The following is a 21,802-nucleotide window of genomic DNA, read 5'->3' on the forward strand; positions in this document are numbered from 1 at the left end:
GAGTGCCAGAGCACCGCGTGGGACTGGCAGGCAGCTCCACCTGTGGCCCCGGTGGAGTGAAACCACTGAGTGAAACCACCTGGGCTCCTGAATCTGGTGGGGACTTGGAGAATCTTTATGTCTAGCTAACAGATTGTAAATACACCAATCAGCATTCTGTATCTAGCTCAGGGTTTGTAAACACACCAATCAGCACCCTGTGTCTAGCTCAGGGTTTGTGAAGGCACCAATTAACACTCTGTATCTAGCTAATCTAGTGGGGAGGTGGAGAACTTTTGTGTCTAGCTCAGGGATTGTAAACGCACCAATCAGCACCCTGTCAAAACGGACCAATCAGCTCTCTGTAAAACAGACCAATTGGCTCTCCGTAAAATGGACCAATCAGCAGGATGTGGGTGGGGCCAGATAAGAGAATAAAAGCAGGCTGCCTTGAGCCAGTAGTAACAACTGGCTCTGGTTTCTTCCTGCTTTGTAGCAGGTATGTTCTTTTGCTCTTTACAATATATTTTTCTGCTGTTCACTCTTTGGGTCTGTGGTGCATTTATGAGCTGTAACACTCACCGCGAAGGTCTGTAGCTTCACTTATGAAACCAGGGAGACCATGAGCCCACTGGGAGGAAAGAACAACTCCAGACACTCTGCCTTAAGAGCTGTAACACTCACTGTGAAGGGTTGTAGCTTTACTCCTCAGCCAGTGACACCACGAACCCACCAGAAGGAAGAAATGCCGAACACATCCGAACATCAGAAGGAACAAACTCCAGACACGTCGCCTTTAAAGAACTGTGACACTCACCGTGAGGGTCCGCGGCTTCATTCTTGAAGTCAGTGAGACCAAGAACTTACCAGTTCCGGACGCAGCAGGACGGGGACATAGTCCACGTGAAACCCATCTGGTTTTACTAATTGGCTCTTATTGATGGTAGGCCCTTCCCACACCTACAGAGACTGGGAATCAGAGACTCCATTGTTAGGTGCCGGGTTGTGCGAACAGTAAATTATTTTGGCAGAGTTGAGTTTTCCCAGGCAGGCACTTTGAAAGAAATTAAGTTAATCTTAAGGAAGTGGCCTCATTGAGCTACTATGAACTATATTAGTGTGTTTTTGAAGTCTTTATAAGTCAAAGTTGAAGCTTAGATGAGAAAAAGCTCAGATAAACCTGGTTAGAGTTTGGTCAATAAGAGGGTCTTTATCTCATGGCTTTTCAACCTCAACACTATTGATATTCTGGGCTGGATACTTCTTTGTTGTGGAATGGGGCTCTGTCCTGTACACTGCAGAATGCTTAGCAGTATCCCAGACTCTTAACTAAATGCTAGTAGCAGCCCCTTTTATTTCCCCAGTTTAACAACCAAAAATGACTCCAGACTTTGTAGAATGTCCCCTGGGGTCAAAATTGCTTCCAGTTGAGAAGCAGGGATCTAGTACACTGCTGTTCATAGTGTAAAACACACCAGTTCCGAGTTGGGAAAGTGTCTATTGGATGCTCTGCCCAGAACTTTGTGTAGCTCCAATTGGCTTCATCCTCTTTACTCCCTAAAAATGCTCCCATCCATTCATTTCTGATTCCTACTAGTAGGACAATTATCTATCAATCTAGGCAGAAACTTCAGATACGTCCATGACTATATTTTTACTACTTTCTTATGTACGCTAATGACAACTCTCAAATCAGTCTCCTACTTCCTTCCTACCCTTGCTCCTTCTTTTTTCAACGAATATTTAGAAAAGGAAGGTAATATTTAACATATATTTCCTTTGTCCTTGCATAACTACCCATTAAGCAAAATTATGTCTTAAAACATAAAACTAAGAACTAAGAATTAAAATTTAGATATTTAAAATGTGTAATAAGATTAAACCAAAGATTCCTTCTTGTCTCAGCTGTAATCTATCACTAGAATTCAATACCGTGCCTCATCATACTGAGTCATTGCACTAATATCGCTTTAAGACATCCAAAAGCAGTGTCATTGATACACCTGGGTCAGCTCCATTAACTTTATGACACAGATTTGGCTACTTTGGTGATTTGACAAAGATGGTGACATTTGCTCGGAATGACATCAATATATAGCAACTTTGTGATTGAGATTGGTCAATCTGCTTAAATGTGGTATAGTTAAAATTCATTAATCAGCATAGGTGATTTCTGTGAGTCAGTATGAAAGATTCTGTGTGTATGAGAGAGAACAGAGATCATTATTTAAACAATATTGTCACATTTTCATGTTATTTTTTCTGAATGAAAGGCCTCCATTGCTTTTGAACTCAACCATTTTACTTTTTCTGTATCAAAATAAAACTGCCTTTCAGGAAAGAAATTAAAGCTCATCACAGATGGTGGCCGTCTCATTCAGTCATCTTGTTCATTTCAAGTAAATCCCTATTCCTTTCTTCTGGAAAATTTCTAATCCTTGGAAAATCAACTCTATCAGACATTCCTTCCCCCTCCCATGCCAGAGGTATTGAAAGATAAAAGTAGAATTGATGACCTTGAAATATGAGAAGAACATTATCCAGTCACCATTGTAGGGTACAGAACCTTCACTTCCTTAGAACAGGTGGTAAAACAATTACAGATGTGCAGCTGTTCTATGCCATCAAATTCTCCCTGGAAAAGCTGGAGGTGATTGTTATGTAAAAAATGTGTTTTATCTTCACAGAATATATTTAATAAAACTGTGAGGTATGTAAATTTGCCAGCCAGAGGTAGAGGCATTTTAAAATTGGACTAGAGTTTTGTTTATATTAAGAAATTACACTTATTGTGTAAATCATAAATTAGCATAATAGAAACATCTCTGTAATAAAAAGCTGCCATTCTATTACCACATAGCTTTATTTCTATGAGACTTTATTAGCATTGAATATCAAGCAGGCCAGGAGATGTAATATATTGCCTGATGTGGTATTGTGGAATGGAAAACATACTCCATGAATATGCAAACTCTATTTCCATACATAAAAATAGTTCTATAAATATGTTATTGTGTTATTGGACATATTTATAGAACAATAACACAAACATGGTGGCTGTCATATTTTTCTTAGCATACCTCATACTGCATATATCTGTAATTATAATGCATTCAAAATATATCTTTGCTATTTAGGACATGAAATGATAAATGTATGCAGGGTCCTACCATAGGCATAGCAATAAAAAAGATGTCATGGAAAAGGGTGGTGGGAAGAATGGGAGGAAAAACAATCTGGGAAAGGGAAAGCAGGAAACAAAAGGAGAAAGTAAAACGTTATTGGTTGTTCACTTCTTTGAAGCCTAAATATTACTCCTGAGGTTGGTGTATGATGGTCGTTGCAAAAATAAAAAGAGACCTTAATAAATGAATGGAAACTCTCCCGATGTCACTCAGTAAGCTTGAGTTTGAATTCAGTCCCTCTGATTATGATCCCCTTGTCCATTTCTTATTTTAGCTTCTTGGAGAAGAAATGGGAGGGAGAGGGCAGGGAAACTGGATGAACACACTTGGTAGCCAGCACTCTCAGCTTCCACCAGAGGCTCCCACTGGCGTCTAGTTTATGCATGAGAATTCTGCATACTTTTATGTTTGTAGAGGAATTTGGAAACAATTGCACTAATTTGTCCAAGCATCCTGTTTTCTATGAGTTTGTATTCTCATCCGTATGGCAAAACCCTCTATTCAAAAACACTAAAAAATGGCAAATATTTCAGTATGAGTGAAATAAGATCCTTGTGTAGCTGGAAGATGTTGGTGAGGTTGCTTGATAAAGACGGAAGGAAGTGAGACTTGACTTAGGTCCTGAAACATGGGCAATGGTTGGTGATAGGAGGGGAGAGAGAAGGGATTATAGATGAGGGAGAGTCTCTCTAGTTCTAGGAACCCAGATTTTATCACTCAATAGCACTTCCTGTAAGTTTCACTGGGAAAGGTTTCTCTCTTGAACAGAGAGAATAGAGATGGGAATTAGCAGTGTTTATGTAGCAATTGAGAGAAAAGCTTGATTAAGGAGGGAATGTTAAGAAATAGTGAACAACCAAATTGCCTCTATATAAAATATTTGGAGCAGACCATCCAGGGTCATCCACTATTGAGAACGCATCTGGAAAAAAAAAAGGGCCCAGTGCTTTACAAGAAAGCCACTTTGAATTGTTAAAATAAGTATATTAACACAATTTGATTTGATGAGCACTTTGTGTTATGAAAGGCTTTCTTACATGTAGACAAAGTAAGTCGAGGGCCCATCATCTCCATAGAGGCTCTTGGATAACGCTCTCTATAAGTCCAGCCCCAGTTTCCAAAGTTTTCACCATACCAATGCTGTCCTTCTCTGATTTCACCCTCATTTGGGTCACACTTTTCTGTTGGTGTAATACAGGGGTGAACAGCACAGACACTGGGGTTAAACTTTCTGAGCATAAATTTCAGCTTGGATACTAATAGAGTGACTTTGGGCACTTATTGAATCATGTGTGTCTCCCTTTCCTCATATGGATGTAAAGATAATCACAGGTCAACAGACAGCGTTGAGGGCTAAGTGAGACAGCACAGGTAAGTGTTGACCCCAGGCCGTCCACAGCACAAATACTTGTTGAATATGAGTTGTTTCCTTTAAAACTGGCACAAGCATTTTTACATTATATAGTATTTAAACTCAGTTTTTGTTTCCTGTTATATCATAAACTTTTTACAGAGCTTATTGACACAGTATTTTTCTTTCCCTTCAATTTTCCACGGACTAAAAGGGAGGAAGAAGAGCTTTCTCTGGAAATGAAATCAAGCAGCTTTCCTTGTATTGAAAGGTAAATTGCCTTTTCAGCCTCATCATGTTATACCGCTCAATATAGGAAATTAGAGAGTTAATGAGATGCCACAAGCTTCCATATTCTCTCCCACTGCACAGAAAGCTGTGTCTTCTCTGCCAATCAGGTAATTTTAATTTATTGGCATTTGGGATTCAGCAAGATACAAAAAGTAACTCTGCATGCCAACTCTACCAAAATTTCTAAAAGAAGTTAGTAGGAGTACTCATATATATGGCTTTCTTTTTTTTTTTTTGTCTAGGGCCATGTATGACTGCTAGTTTTATTAGGACTCTCTGGAACTTCAATCGTTGAAGATTAATTACACCCACCCAGTTTAAAAGGCAGGGTAGTGATATGATTAAGAGATGGGTACTGGAATTGTACTTTAAAGGTTCACGTTTTGGTGACTACCCTCACTAATGTGTGACATGAACATTATGAGCCCACAATTTTCTTATCTGGGAATTTTGAAAGTATCTAAAATTTGAGGGCTGACAAAAGATTAACACAGCACAAAAATGGGTCTACTCTGATGTCTGGCACATATACACACACATTCATACATATACATAAGTCATTTAGTAGATGTAATTGTTACTGCTAAAGCCATATTCTAGGCACTGTGAGCTAGGCAGAGAGCTTGGGTTCCAGGAAGACAAAAGTTGTATAAAAAGTCACAATGAGATGGGTGAGAGGCAGGTTATATACATTTTGCTAAGAGCGTAGAAGAGAAGAACAGGCAAAAAACATCTATTAACAGAAGCCCTCACATGTACTAGGCACTGCACAACCCCTTATAAAGTTGGTATTGTTATTGCTTTTGTGCAGGTGAGCAAACTGAAGCTCTAAGAGATAAAAGTTACTTTTCTGAACTCCACACCTCAAAAATAAGCCAAAATTCATTTAGCCACGGAATCCATGCTTTTCATACTTCACCATACTTTATTTATTTATTCTTGGTAGAGGGGTTAGTCAAAGCTTCACAGCCCTACAGAAAGTATCTTTTGAATGTAGCTTGCGTGGTCATTACATTGCCAAAAGAGAGGAAACAGGGCTGAATTTCCAAATTGTATATTTGTACGTTTATATACGCCACTTTAAAAGGAAATCCATTTGTCTATCAAGAGATACTTCGATTGCTTCCATATCTTGACCTCCTTTTTTTTCTGATAATGTTATGTTATTGTTTGGAATCTCAAATTATCTCTTTCCTTGTAGGGCTTATAAATTGTTTATTGAGAGAATGCATGAGAGGAGGTCATGGCTCCAGTAGAAAGACAGAAATCCTGGTGAAATTAGTTTTGAGAGTGAGCTTTCAAAGCAATGGTGATTTTTAGAATGTTCAAGAGACAATGAATGCAGAGAACAAGAAAATAAACCGGTGACATTTATTCCTTTATGTTTGATTCAGCAAGTATGTCTGAAATATCTGCTCTGAATCAAGCACTCTTAAAATTTTAAGTTGTATAAACTAATGATCAATGGAGGAAATGTAATGAAATGAAAGAAAAGATTGGAGCAGAAATGAGGAGGGAAGACAGAGAAGAATGCATACACAGGAAAGATATAAAGATGGGTGAACGTTGAGAATGTTGAATGTTGAGAGAAAGTAGAGTGTTAAATATTGGATGTGTCATAACATGAAGACGCAAAAGGCCAGAATTCCAGCATTAATCTTGTAAGAGCTAGCTCTGTGATTTCAAGTGGTACAGAGAGTGTCAATCAATTTTGTGTTTTGTTCATTGTCACCTCCAAACAGATATATTTTATCTGGAATAGAAGTGTAGCCCAGTGGGTCAAGGGATTTGGGTTTTATTTTCTTAAGCTTTTACTTGTATAGGTGAGTTTTGCAAACTTGTGCACTTTAATCACATATAATGCGAGTAGAAATGTGCCTGAATTTTCAAGGCTGAACAGCTGGGACATTTGGACTTCTCATACCAAGGGTGACATTCCTCATTTCCCAGGGTGCGTGATGCTGTCCCGAATCTCACGGGACAGTGACATTCCTGAGTGTGCCCAGAAACATGAAAAATACACCTTCCTAAGGGACAAAATGCTTTTAGTACTGTCGCTCTGAGGAGGAGGCTGCCCTCTCACTGAGTGAATGAACATGGTATGCTGCCTGATTCACTTATGACAAAAACAGCCATTTAATTCATATTCAGTTAACCATTAGCTTCAATAATAGTGATGGCACTGACTTTGCAGCATGACTAGCACTGACAATACCTAAAATGGAGCTCTGTAAATATCACTGCTGGGAGATTCCTCCCACAGCTGTTGGGTCCTACTGGAGATGTCTGTTTCCTCAAGGGAGAGCTTCCTGTCTGACAGTTGTACAATGCTTCTATGTTTGGAGAACAGAGACAGGATTTCCTTAGGAAATTGCAATAGAAATCATTGTAGTTCTCTGGCAGTGGTATAAAATGTATAGACACTTATAATTTCACATTCAAATTTGAAAGTGAAAGGCACTCTCTCTCTCTCTCTCTTTGAAATCCATTATTTCAGTGGGAGCTCTCCCAAGTAAATAACAAATGTTATTTTTCTATAAATAGATAGCATTCAAACACTTGGCTTAAATACCACAAGGTTCTGTACTCTATCCTTTGGGACAACCAAAGTCAGGTTATGTATCTTCCATCTTTATGCAGCATCTTCTCTGAATTGTACTTTATTAATTTCTACAGGCTTGTGGTTACTTTAGTAAACTTTGTAATCATCTCTCCTTGATATAATTTAATAAAAAGCACTATTGTATTTATGGAAACAAACTCATTTATTTTCCAGTGATCTCGATACTGAGATCTACTAAAGTGACCTCAGTGTGGCCATTCAAAATAGGAAGATATATCTGTAAGATTGTTAATGTTACTTTTATTTTAGATGGAACACTGCCTGATAAGGCAAGCCATTACATGCATGTTGCATACATACATACATATTACCTACATGTTAAGCAGAGCTGTTGTAGGTAGAGATTCTGAGTGACGATCAGAAAGTAGGATTATACACTACAAAATACAGAAAACCTCTTTTTTTCTTAATGGCACAAGCAGAATTTGGTGCAAAATGCATCATTTTTCTCAGTTGTCCTTGTATATTTCTAGATGGCTTTGTGAACATACTTTCAGTAGTGTCTGACCAATCCAAAATCTAGGGCTATTTTTGTTCTCTAGGACCTGCTCACTTTAACTTGTTTGACTGAGTAGTGAGTGTCCTGACATGGAAGATTTGTATTGGGTCTGTGCCTGACCCCTGACCACAGCACCCTGGAGTGTACTGGACATTGACTCATCATGTTTTGGACTTTGGAATTAAGACATGGGGACAGTTGAACTAGTCTTTGGAGTGTGTAGATTGTCATGACCGTAAAATATCAAAATCCCTGCTTCTTTAATAAAATGGGTCTTTCAGGTATGACTTGAGAAACTTTATATGCAGTTGGTCTTTCTGAAAAGTTGTATGAGACATCGCCTTAGAACTTTCTAAGGTCTTAACAATTCTAGGTATATTTTCGTCCTGGAATTGATCTTGGTCCAGAGTATGTTTCTTATTTTGAGAATCCGTTAAAATTTGAAAAGGCCATTCTAGGAACTTCAAATATCCTTCAAAATATACTTGAACATTAAATAGTTTATTCTTTAGTCCATCTCTGCCTTGGCTTATTTTATTACAGACAAAGGCAGATGGCACGTGCCTATATTCCATCTGGAGCTATTCTTCAGTAACTCCTCAAGTTCATTACATACATTTTATACTTCCCATATCACTTGAGGTAACATTTTTGTCTGAATTTTCTGTAACTTTACAAATTCTCTTTATTTTCTAGATCTTTTTATAGTATTTTCTTCTCAGTCTTGTAAGCCTTGATCTAACAAAGTTCTTCTGGCTTTTACCAAAGATCTCTTCAAGGCTTCGCATGTATCTGCTTGATACCAAAGCCAATGCCACATGTCCTAAGTTTTGATTATATACAGCATGGTATAGCATATTATAATATAGTACTCCAGATATATGCAATACACTATAGTATAGCACTGTATTTATGAATTCTAAATTTCCATTTGCTTGTTATTACTGGTGAACAAACTATCCCAGTAGTGAGTGGCATGAAGCAACCACTTTACTATGCTCATGGAGTCTGTGAATCTGAAAAATTGACTAGGTACAACATGGGTGGCTTGTTTCTGCTTCATGATGTCAGGGGCCCTAGTTGGTCAGACTTAATGGTTGAGGGCTAGCAATATTCAAGGCATCTTGATTCACATGTTTGGATGTTGACTAGGCTCTCAGCTGAGTTTTTAATAAGAGCATGCACAAACGGTCTCTCCATGTAACATGGAGACCTCAGGAAAGTTGGACTCCTTAGTTTTAAAAGCAAGGTTTTTTGTTTAGAATTCCATTGACTTGTATAACATAGACATTGAAGTTACATAATGTCATTTCCATTGTACTCTATTGGCCACAGCTGTTACAAACCCAATCAGATCTAAGAAAAAGTGTTATATTCCCAATCATTAAATTGGAAGAGTATCAAGGCAACATGGTAAAACAAGTGAGATGGGAAATGTTGTTTTATCTATCTTTGGAAGATAAAACATTAACTAACACAACACTACATTGTATGGTAACATTCTAATATTAAAAAGGCAGGTAATACATTATAAAGTAACATACATTTTTTCACACTATCCTACATAAATCAATTTTAATGTTGAATGAAAAAATAACATTACCTCTAAACATGACTTTTTTCATTAATTACTACCCATTTTTCTACCACTGTTCTAGATCAACGCACTCATTTTTCGTAAGAGTAAGGTGAGTTGCAGAGAAGCAAAAGGACTGGATCCTGGTTACGTAGTACATTTTTTATAGCTCAGAGATTAAAATCCACATTTTAATTAGCATCAGTGCTCCTTCCATTAAGGTAAATTGCTTCTTACCTGAGCTACTTATTAGAATGTTTGCATGATACAAAGTATTTTTCAGCCACTTTGTAAATAAAGATTCCAAAATAATTTCATATTAGTAAGCATAAAGAACTGTAACTAAAAAGTGAAGAGCAACTTCATTTGAATGAACAATTTAAGTTAATCTTCTTTTCAAAGAAAATCATGACTGACTAGTTTTTAAGATACATGTTGATTTATTCTAAGGGCAATAAAGAATTAGAACTCTTCGTTTTAGAAGACAGATTGAATTTAAAAAAATAAATTGCCATAAAATATTCAGATGTCAAGAAAAACTTTAACTAATAATAAAACTATTCTTAGGTATCTATGATGAGAAAAGGCATATATGTCAAGATGTCATTTAGTTTTACTGAATCTTTAAAAATTAATACAGAAAAAAGTACCAATTGGCTGTTAAGTTTTATGGTTAGAAAGCGAAGTTAGTGGTTCTAAAATTAAGAAAAAGGAATTAAACTGACAGGATCAGATTATTTCTATCATCACCTTTGACATTCAACATTAGTCAGACATCTCATAGAGCATAGATTTTTGAATGAAAAGACTTGGTTAAGGGCAAAGAAAATTACTTAAGATAAAATATAAATAGTATATGAACAAACAAAAAATCTAGTCTCAACAAATATTTACTGAGCCCTTATGATGTCAACCATTACTATTAATAAAACACAATTTAAAGCTTTATTGAATTGTCGCTTGGCTAGCAAAATGACAAAATAAGTATGAAACACACACGTAGTTATTTTTTCTAAAGGTATTGCAATAAAATTGATATAAAATAATACTGGAATGAAACTAATAAAAGAGGAAACCTCTTGTATTAACCACTTATCATCTATCAGTTCTATCAATCAATTTATTAATTAATCTATCAATAGATCTGTCTATATACAGATGGTCCCTAACTTAGGAATTCTTCATTTTACTATGGTGAAAAAGTGATAGGCATTCAGTATACTCTTTGACTTATTATGGGGTTATTTTTTGATAAACCTCTATTGTAAATTGAAAATATCATTATTGTTTATCTGGACATAACTCTAAGGTGGAGAGGCATCTGTATACTTATCCATAAACATTAAATGTGCCAATGGAACTTTACATACTTATCTTCCTTTAGGGAATTTATTATCAGGAAAAGGTCAAAAGGAAATAAAAAGTTATAATTGTGAATATTATTAAGATGGCATTAAAAAGATAAGTTATGTGTGTATGTGCATACAAATCAAACTAAATGAAAATGCTAAGATACTAATTAATAAATTTTAGAGCATAATCATGAAGTGAAAAAGGTAATTTTTATATAGAACAAAACTAGAAGGCAGTTCACAAAATTGAAAATGCTTGAGTAGGCCGGGCGCGGTGGCTCACGCCTGTAATCCCAGCACTTTGGGAGGCAGAGGCGGGCGGATCATGAGGTCAGGAGATCGAGACCATCCTGGCTAACACAGTGAAACCCCGCCTCTACTAAAAATACAAAAAATTAGCCGGGCGTGGTGGCGGGCGCCTGTAGTCCCAGCTACTCGGGAGGCTGAGGCAGGAGAATGGCGTGAACCCGGGAGGCGGAGCTTGCAGTGAGCTGAGATCGCGCCACTGCACTCCAGCCTGGGCGACAGAGTGAGACTCCGTCTCAAAAAAAAAAAAAAAAAAAAAAAAAAAAAAAAATGCTTGAGTGTGTGTTTGGAGTGACAGGTATTTTTAAATTCTCTTTAATTCCATTGTTATTCCAATATAAAGTTAACATTAAATCGTGAAAAAAATTTGAGACATTTGTGGGGAAGAATGTTGCTTGCTTTTTGGGAGAACAACTAGAAACTAGCTCTCTGTTTGAAGATCAAATGAAGCTCATGTAGAGGCATAGAACTGCAGCCATTTAGTCACCATGAGTGACTTTAACCTGTCAGATGAAGATGATACTATGGAAAGATGAGTGTGGGAATAAACATTAACTAGTTATTTTTATGCCACTTTATTAAAATAAGATTGAAAAGTGGCAAATATCTATATGTGGAACACCGAGAAAAATTTTAGTTTACTTTTAATGCAGTGGTTTACATTTATCTATTCCATGCTCAGAAGCAGATGCAGATTTATAGAATTAAAATAAGCAGGTAACCACCTACTATCACCTCTAGTACTTGTGCTTAATTCAATCAGCTTTTGACATTTCCCTGACAATGGGAGTTAGCTTAAGAATATGCTGGTCAACAAATTAAGCCAATAAGACATGAGGAAGGTTTCCTGGAAGATATCTGACCTCTGATGTCTTCTCATGCTTTGCTTCTTAATTTGCTGCAACACCACCAAGTATTCCTCACCCAAGAAATGAGCCTTGGCTGTGTCAATTCAGGTCAAACCAATTTGAGGGGTGTTCTTAATTCTTTTTCCTGCAGTACTGTTCTTCAAAGGCAAGTTCTTCTTTCCTGATTGTCCATTATTATTCGGCTGAGTGTGATTCTACTCCTCTCTTTTGGACTGGCCCTTGGTATTTTTGTCTCCTAGCTGTCTCTTTCCAATTTGTGTCAGATATAACCTTATTTAGTAATTCTAAAACTAGACTCCATTTTCCTTAGCTGATTAAATTTAATGCTGTTACTTAGGTCCTATGCCTGCAAATTTCATTTCATTGGTCTGAGGCATAAACTGGACATAAGGATGTTTAAGCACTCAACATTGAGAACTACTAGCCCACTGGAACCATCTGCTTTAATTTTCTACAGATAGAGTTTTCTTCTCCAGTTGGGGAATCCTCCACAATCTGGGAGATTTGTACTTCAGGAGTAGTAGTCAAATGGGATGGAGTTTGATTTTGTTCTTAATGCCACAACAGAAATCATGATTGGCATGCACACTGGTGGAGATGTTCAAGAAAGTTTTACATATACAAATAGACAAATAAATATATAGGCCCATAAATGCTACAGGAGTACATCAATATTTAGTTTCAATAGTTGCACAGCAATTTTAATATATTTTTAAAATTCCATCTTTATAAATAACTCCAAAACTTGTGATTTCTTTCCCATTATTGTAAAGGAGCAAACTAATTTTCTTACTCTTAATTTTCAGCCCTTATGATTGACAACACCGTTCATTCAGATAACCAAGCCTGAAAACTGTGTGCCATCTTCATGCTCGCTTTTTTCACTCTTTCCCATAAAGTCAATCACTAAGTCTTGTTGATTATATCTTCTTTGTAAATCTAGAATATATATTATTTTTTCCCACTGCCAAGGCTTTTCTCATTCTACCTACAGTTAAAATAGTATCTCTATTGTCTTCAATCTCTGGTAGATACATCTCAAATCTCTCTCTCTCACATAGCCTGCAAGTTTCATTTTTCTCATGCAATTTTTTAAAAAATTAATTTGTTACTCTTCTGCTTAGACAGCTTTGTTGCTTCCCCCGTAACATTTCCATAGAAAATTGAAACCATTTCTTTTATTCATAGAAAGTTTAGAGTCTGACTCATTTTTGAAACTTTAGCCTCACTGCCTAATACTCTCCCACATAAACTTTTGTGTCTAGACACATCAGCAAGCAACAGTGCCCTTCATAAGGATGACTTTTTAAAGCAAAGTTTTCTTCTTGGGTCTTTACCAAGCTAAATGTAGAAAGCGGCATCTTTGCAATTTATGAAGAATAAAAAAGTTGCTATCTTTCAGGAAAGGTGACAACAGCTGAGGGTCCCTGGGTTGGATTTGAAGCTATCTATGTCAGGGAAAAGAAGTGCTCCTTCCTTGGGCCTTTGACAGTTGTGGCAACTTTCAGCATTGCATGTACAGAGCCAGACGCTGCTTTCATCTGCTTGGCAGAGGGGAAAGAGACTCTGGAAGGGCTGCCAAGTTTTCAACAGAGGGGCTTTCAGTTCCAGAGCAGGGACCCTTAAGGACCAGTAGGCCCAGCTCCCCAACTTCACGCCCAAGGACTTGGCAGGCACTGAGCTGTCCTCATTAAAATCCAGTTTGGATCATGGCACTCTTTCATTCCTACCCAGCTGTAGCCAAGTGGAAAAAAAAAAAATAGAAGAAAAACCAGATAATAGAGGATCACACACACACACTGCAAACCAAAAATGTAAACTGGAATTAGGCAAAACATCAAATTTGATTTTAATAGTTGTCAGAATGCTATACAGGTAGCTCCATGCCTCTGGAGCCTTCCTTTAATCATCTGGTTTCATTCTTTTTTTTCTTGCTGCCCTAATTATTCCTGCTTTTAATATCCCCCCACTGGCTCTAATTTAACTTTTCTGTAGTTTCAGCTTGTTTGCCAGGCAGGTTCCCTTTCACTTTCAAAGCCCAGCTCAATTCTTGTGTCCAGGCAGTAAAGGTTATCAGGGAAGTTTGTCAGATCCCTGCTTCCTCTGGAGTTTCTGTCACCCTTGCGCTGTGATTTCTGTGATTAGTCAATATGAGCTCAGTCCCAAAGAGGGGCTCTGGTTTTCAAGATTAGAGGGGCTGATGCTCTGCACACATTTTCTTCCTTGTCCCTTTCTCTCCTCATTCTCCCCTAACTGAAATGCACTTTCATCACGTTTGATTTCAAAAAATCTGTTTAATGTTCTACTGAGTCTTCTGTGGTCCTTACACTACGGTAGGAAATATCTGTAGCAAGCTCTGGGGTGCTGGATCAGCTGCTTAGGTCTTTCAAAAAGTGAAAGTTACTTTTATTATTGGCACAGTGCTAGTTTTCTACTTGTTTACATCCATTATAATGACCCAATCACAATGTGATTGCTAAGGTCATGAAAGGTGTTCTGTTATAAAAACTACGTTTTTTAGGTTGCATGTTCTTCAAGTGAAATCTTCCAAGGTGAAATTTTAATGGGAAGCATCTCACAAATGAGCCTATCATTCTTTAGGAGAGTTGAAAACAACATCTTTGGGGAAATGTTGAGTTTCAAATGAGAAATAAACAATATATTGCAGGTTTTTTTTGAAGGAAATATTCATTCATTTATTAATTCAAAGGATATGTATTAAGTGCTCCAGTGGCAGGTACAGCAGTAGGTGTTAAAATTAGAGACTGTGAAATCATTCCTTTCAAGATACTCACAAGAAATTTGGAAAGAGACATGTAAAGACATCATTACAATGTGGTGAGACTAAAATAGCACCAAGTAGATGAAAATTTCACAGTATAGGCAGGTAGGAGAGATCATCAGTTGACTGGAAATTTGGTGGGAATCCTGAAAAGATAAGAAACAGATGGAAACAGATGGGAGCAAAGAAATCATAGTCTCAAATAGATTTTAGAGAAGCTTGGTACAGTATGAGGATTTGTGTGGGTGAACGCTAGACTTGTAGTTAAGAGATTGAAAAGTTAGAGGCAATAACACATATTCTGTTATTAAAAGAGGAGTTACATATAGAGTAGCAAATATGCAAGAGCCATTGAGTTTTCCTGTGACCAGTATATTGAATGTGAGCCTTGGAACTAGAGCAGCAAGATAGTGTCCCTGAGGGCAAATGATTCCAAGGTACGGTGAATCTTTTCACATAAAAGGAAAAATGGCTGGTAGAACTACTCCCACCTACAATAAATCTACAGTCACGTTATTACCACATATTGGAATACAGTGAATACCCTATGAATGTTAAAAAAAAGGGGGAGGGATTAAAACAGGAATTTCAACAGTATCTGCCAAAACAAAACATTAAGAGCAATAGTAGCACCAGATATAAAAAAGTAATTTAAAGGATATTAAATGAGAAGATAGGGTATTTTAATTTGATAAAAATTCAACCCACAATGAAGACATAATATTATAGACTTCAACAACTTCAACAAATCAGAAACAATTCTAAGAAAAAGTATATTTCTTTCTAACATACCACCTTAAAAATTCAATAGGTTAGGCAGAACAAAAATAAGATGTAGAAAATGTAAATGACTCAACAGAATTTACTCATATACACATATAAATATTTATACATAAATATGTATAAATATATCTATATATTTGTACTTATAAACAAATTATGAACCATATGGAATCATATATCATTAGTTTCTAAACCAAAAAATACAATGTGCTTTTCAATACATATGAAATATTACCTGAAATATCTATCAAGTATACTCCACTAACAATAAATAAATTCTAAAGAGCAGGAAAACATAGCAAAAGAACATGCTACGGAAGCATGGAGGAGAGATAAATATGGCCAAAAAAGGTTGCGAAGGGCCACATAGAGAAGGAGATTTGAAGGCTGAAAGACTAAGGCCAATGAATTATAGGGCAAGGGGCATTCTAGCACACAGAATGGTTTGGAAAGAATTGTCTTATTCAGAGATTTTTTTTGGCACTAAAGCAACTCAAATTCATTCAAATAAGCTATGACAACAAGTGATAATTATTGGAAATAGAAAGGAATCATTCTGTGGAAATTTTGCCAGTGCACAAAGGCAAACCTCCTATAGTCTGGAAACAGACTGTCAGATTGGCCAGGGATTAAGACTATCCCTCTCTTTATCTCTGATTTTGTCCTTGTGTTCTTCTCTTGCCCACTTCATCTTTTTATCTCACTACATTTTTTTTTCTATTTTCTGGTCTGTGTTGATCTGTTTCATTTTTCTCTTTTTTCTGAGTGCTTTCTCTGGTTCTCTTTGCAGAAAAATAGCCCATAAGTCTTAGGAGGTCCCTCGAGATAAACATATCCCCAGAAAAAAATAGCATTCCTCAGTTTCAATTTCACATTTCTGAAAGAGAATCAGATTTGTTTAATTTGGGTCAAGGGCTTATTCTAGTTCAAGAGAGTGCAGAGGCTCAGATGGAAAACTATAGCCTCCTACTTATTTAGCAGATTCTATGAAGACAATTTGAGAAGATACTCAGAAGTGTAAGTGAGAGGATGACAGTAAATGTGGTTGAAAACGGAAGCAAAAATAAAATCACTGAAGATCTTGGTTTCCGAACATCCCCCTACTCTCAGATGGCAGGTGAAAGAGAATACCTCAACAATTTTAAGCAAACTATAGCATGCCCAGGAGCTTGGAAATGGAGTGATGGCGCTAGAAACTGAGAAATTGAAAGCATGCAAAACAGTAGGGAATGGAAAGAAAGAATCATTAAAGAGAACATTTTTCAGTCCCCTAGTTTAGAGTTGTGCAAATGCCCGGCACTCATTGGCCTGAATTGTCTAATAATAGCACTTTGACCTTTCTCCTTGAGCCCTTGTAAGTCTCTAAATGTCTACAAGATGAAAGTAAAATTATGGTCTTTCAATCTGAAAGTTTAGATTAAAAAATGTGAATAGGCTGATATTTGAATAGCTGGATCAACTATTCATATTTCTGGTAATAAACTTTGATTATTCCCCCTTGAATTTGAACTAGTTTATTTTTCTGGAATAATAAAATTAATAGAAAAGTCAGTTTCAGGCCGGGTGCGGTGGCTCACGCCTGTAATCCCAGCACTTTGGGAGGCCGAGGCGGGCGGATCACGAGGTCAGGAGATTGAGACCATCCTGGCTAACATGGTGAAACCCCGTCTCTACTAAAAATACAAAAAAATTAGCCGGGCGTGGTGATGGGCGTCTGTAGTCTCAGCTACTCAGGAGGCTGAGGCAGGAGAATGGCATGAATCCAGGAAGCGGAGCTTGCAGTGAGCCGAGATTGCGCCACTGCCCTCCAGCCTGGGCAACAGAGCGAAACTCTGTCTCAAAAAAAAAAAAGTCAGTTTCAAAACAAACTAAAACATAATTTTAAAAATGGCTCTTAAAAGCCTACATTTGCCTCTGGTATGCCCATTTTAAACTTTCTAAATCACAATTTTATAATTAAAGATAAATAATGAGCTTTCCAACTATATTTATCTAAATCAACTCTTCCTATCCCCCGAGTTATGAATATCATTGATACACATCCAATCTGATGGTAAGCCCCATTTGAAATACTAATTTTGTTGCATGTTTGACCAGGGACATGCAAGTTACTACATCCCCATGAAACACACTCCTTTTCTGGGCAGTTCTGACCTAACGGCATTCTTCTTTTTTTTTTTTTTTTTTTTTTTGAGATGGAGTCTTGCCCTCTCGCCCAGGCTGGAGTGCAGTGGTGCAATCTCGGCTCACTGCAACCTCTGCCTCCAGGGTTTGAGCAATTCTCCTGCTTCAGCCTACTGAGTAGCTGGGATTGCAGGTGCCCGCCACCATGTCCGGCTAATTTTTGTACCTTTAGTAGAGACGGGATTTCACCATGTTGACTAGGCTGGTCTCAGACTTCTGATCTCGGGTGATCCACCCTCATTGGCCTCCCACAGTGCTGGGATTACAGGTGTGAGCCACCGTGCCCAGCTGTCATTCTTCTTTCTATTGAACCAAAGTCAGTATTTCTATAAAATATTGAAAAAAAATCCTGAATAATATATAAATATTGATATGTATGAATTATATTGTTATATATTTACAATAACAATAACGGTAGTTTTTGATTTTTTTTTTTTAGCTATAAGAGCTGAGTCTACTTACCATGTAGTCTGTACTCAGATTTCCACTCCTCTACTACTCATTGACTTAGACTGTTCCATTGTAGTTTTTTCCCCAACATTTCCTCCCATGATGCAAATAGTCCTGTTAAGGACATCACTGTGATATTTTAGTTTACCCCTTCAAGTCAGATGCTCTGAAACCAATAAAATTGCAACTGCACATTTAAGTTTGATTCCATGATCTATTGAGTTCTTTTGCTTAATAGCCCAATAACTTTTCCAGTTCCAAGATTCTGTGATTCCATAAGACCAGTAGTGTCACTTTAGTGCCCCCTTGACATGGCTTCATTCTCAACATGGAACACTCATTACTCCATGTTATGTAAACATAACACCATGTCAGAAAACATCAGTTGTTGCCTTTCCACAGATATGGATAACAGCTGTTTGTCTGACAACATAGATGAGTTAGTGCCCTGTGTGACTTCAGAGCCTTAAAACAGCTTTTTGTCTTCAGCATAAAGATAACCCTTCACTCTTTGAAGACTCAGATTACAAAATTTCATAAGGTGAAGATAGTCAGACTTCAGAATGATGATAATTTTGAAACATTGTATTTTCCTTTCCTGGCCTGTTGGGTCAAAACCATCTGGTAATTTGCTTCTCTATGCTGTTACTTCTTGAGTTAGCTTCAGAGAGTTTCTGTGTGGTCAATTATTTTTATTTTCTATTTAACTCTCAGGCTATACATGTTTCTTATCTTTTTATGGCTGCATAATGCTTCTGATTCATCTACCAGAACTTTAGCATATGATATGAACATGTTCTCTCATAACATGTTCATAGGGTCAGATAAATGTTGGCTGAATAATTTTCTTTTGTATGATGATTACAGAAAAAATCCTAGCTCATCAGTCTATCCATTTTCAGGGAGACTGTCCCTCAAAGTTCTGTGCTTAAAGATTAAAGACATACTGTTTTTATTTGCAGAGAAAATAAAGCTTGGAGAATTTGTTTAACTGACACACTAGAGGGAGATACATCAACATCAATAACAAAAGAAAATGCAGACATCAACATCTATTAAAATCAATTTTAATAAAAAACTATCTTCAAAAGGGTTTTTCTTTTACTTTCCGTATTTTATTTTCCACTCTTACTTCATACAGGATCATTTTCATCAACAGCCAATTATACTATGCATGCAATTATTTCATGCTTCTATGTTTTTGCCTCACTCATTCCCATTGCCTAGAATGTCCCTCTCATTTTGCCAAAAGAGGTCTAGCTGCCTTTTAGAACTTTCTCTAATATCCGCCTTTTTTCACTGAACCTCAAAACATGAATAAATTTATAAATATGTGTAACTTCTTTTTTTTTTTTTTTTTTTTTGAGACGGAGTCTCGCTCTTCCGCCCAGGCTGGACTGCAGTGGCGCTATCTTGGCTCACTGCAAGCTCCGCCTCCCGGGTTCACGCCATTCTCCTGCCTCAGCCTCCGAGTAGCTGGGACTACAGGCGCCCACCCCCACGCCCGGCTAATTTTTTCTATTTTTAGTAGAGACGGGGTTTCACCGTGTTAGCCAGGATGGTCTGGATCTCCTGACCTCGTGATCCGCCCGCCTCGGCCTCACAAAGTGCTGGGATTACAGGCGTGAGCCACCGCGCCCGGCCAAAATATGTGTAACCTCTATAAACAAGTATATATGTCTTCTGTGTTCCTCTGAGGAACACAGGTGAGCAAACTGTGTTGCTCAGGGGTCAAATGTGTTATGCTAACCGAGGGTACAGTACTGACCAGGAGATATTCAGGCTTTGCTCTTAAGACCTTATGCTGTGATGGAGACAGATCAAGAAGCAAGCAAAGAAAAATGAATCAAACAATTGCAAATTGTGGTATTTAAAAAAAGTTTAAAAGATTAATATAGATCATAAAAGAGATAATGAATTTTTGGAAGCACAGTGATAAACATTAACATTGAGAGACAGAGTAGCCAGGTGAAGGGGGGCATGGTTGATGGTAGTGGTGGAGATCATCCAGGTGGAGAATAGAGCTTCACATATTAAAGAAACTGGAACAAGATGGGTATGGTGTGAGCAGTATAAGCAAAGAATATTGAGGCAGGTTGAGTTTAGAGGCCTAGGCAGGCTCATTCAGAGCCTTTTGATGGGCAAACATTTTGTTTTGCTATTTTGGGGGAAGTTACTAAAACCTTTAATGTATGCCTCACTTTGTTTTGATATAAAATTAATCTAAAGTAGTCAGATCTTCAGCATCCAGCTAGATTAGTTTTGGAGGTTGTAAACTATTGGTACCACTATCTAAAACAAAATATAGATTACACGCATATTGTATGATTAGAAAGTTAACCCTTCCAGAACATTCCCTTGGACTTGTTTCCAGTCAATTTTCCCCTTGTCCACTAACTTCCATCTTCCTCATAGCAACCACAATTCTGATTTTTCTTATTACTAGTTTTGTTTCATTTGGATTTCAATGAAATAGAATCATACAATATGAGTGTAATCTAATTTTTACACGTTAAAAATATCACACTTATGTACACAAAGGTGCAACTTTACTAAGTAAAATTTAGGGTATACCATTCAGAGTACAACTTCAACTGTTCAGATGTATAATTGTGTACACATCTACACACATGGCACACTAAATTAACATGGTAGTCAACAGAGAACTGTACAGATTTGAGATCACTTTTATGAAAGTTTCTGAAACTTGCTCATGTATCATATGGAGTGTTTGAAAGAACGGGGGAACTTTAATGTCTCCATTGATATTCTGCATGGAAAACTGAGTAGATGATAGAAGGCAGGTCATGGTAATGCAAATCAAAAGATAAATTCTGGGAAGTTGTGTTTGAGATACATATGGGATTATTCCAGGGCTATAGAAAGTTTAGATATAAAAATATCATAATCACCGAGAATTCTTGCCTAAATGTATAAATCTAGTAGTGATTAGCATAAGAATAGTGATTAATTCCTTGGGAACTATTAGGTCGGTGTAAAAGTAATTGCTGTTTTGCCATTACTTTCAATTGGCAAGAAACGCAATTGCACCAAACTAGTAATAACTTTATTGGGAGCAGGTGGTGGCAGGAGTATAATAAAGTGACTATGACCAAACCCTGAGCAAACCCAATTTACAGCAACCACAATTTACAGATTTGAGATTGAGGGGAAGACATCACAGGAAAATAATGGGGGAAAAACCATAGAATTAAAAAAAAAATACATCAGCAGAGCGGTTAGCTTCAGTCCAAATACAATATTTCAAATTGAAAAGAGTACCTTATTTTTTTGAGAGCTAATGAAAAGTCCGTTATGATGAGAACAGAGAAAGCCATTCTTTGCCAGTGTGGAAGGCATGAATGACTTTAATGAGTACAGCTTCAGTGGAATAGTATAACCAAAACTGAATCAGAATGGGCTGAAGAGTGAGAGGGATATAAGCAGATGAAGATAGCTTGTATAGACAATAGTTTTGAGAAAATGGACCAGGACAGAGAGCAGAGAAGATTCATGGCTGAAACGACGTCACAGATTTAACTTCTGGATTGTACTTAACCAGTGAGCAGATG

The 21,802-nt window shown here is 37.2% G+C and overlaps 1 long non-coding RNA gene across 2 annotated transcripts in view; it reads left to right on the forward strand.

Moving 5' to 3' along the window:
• The first annotated feature begins 442 nt into the window (after positions 1-442).
• LOC102723560 (uncharacterized) overlaps positions 443-21,802 on the forward strand; it is a 110,046-nt gene continuing 88,686 nt past the window's right edge. The window contains exons 1-2 of one of the 2 annotated variants that reach the window (XR_933663.3): positions 443-478; positions 4,730-4,913. This is a non-coding gene — a long non-coding RNA (uncharacterized LOC102723560). The remainder of the gene's footprint in view (positions 479-4,729; positions 4,914-21,802) is intronic. The other variant, XR_933661.3, reaches the window with a different exon arrangement.

The sequence above is a fragment of the Homo sapiens genome, chromosome 16 (genome assembly GCF_000001405.40).
Source record: "Homo sapiens chromosome 16, GRCh38.p14 Primary Assembly".
Taxonomy (NCBI): Eukaryota; Metazoa; Chordata; class Mammalia; order Primates; family Hominidae; genus Homo; species Homo sapiens.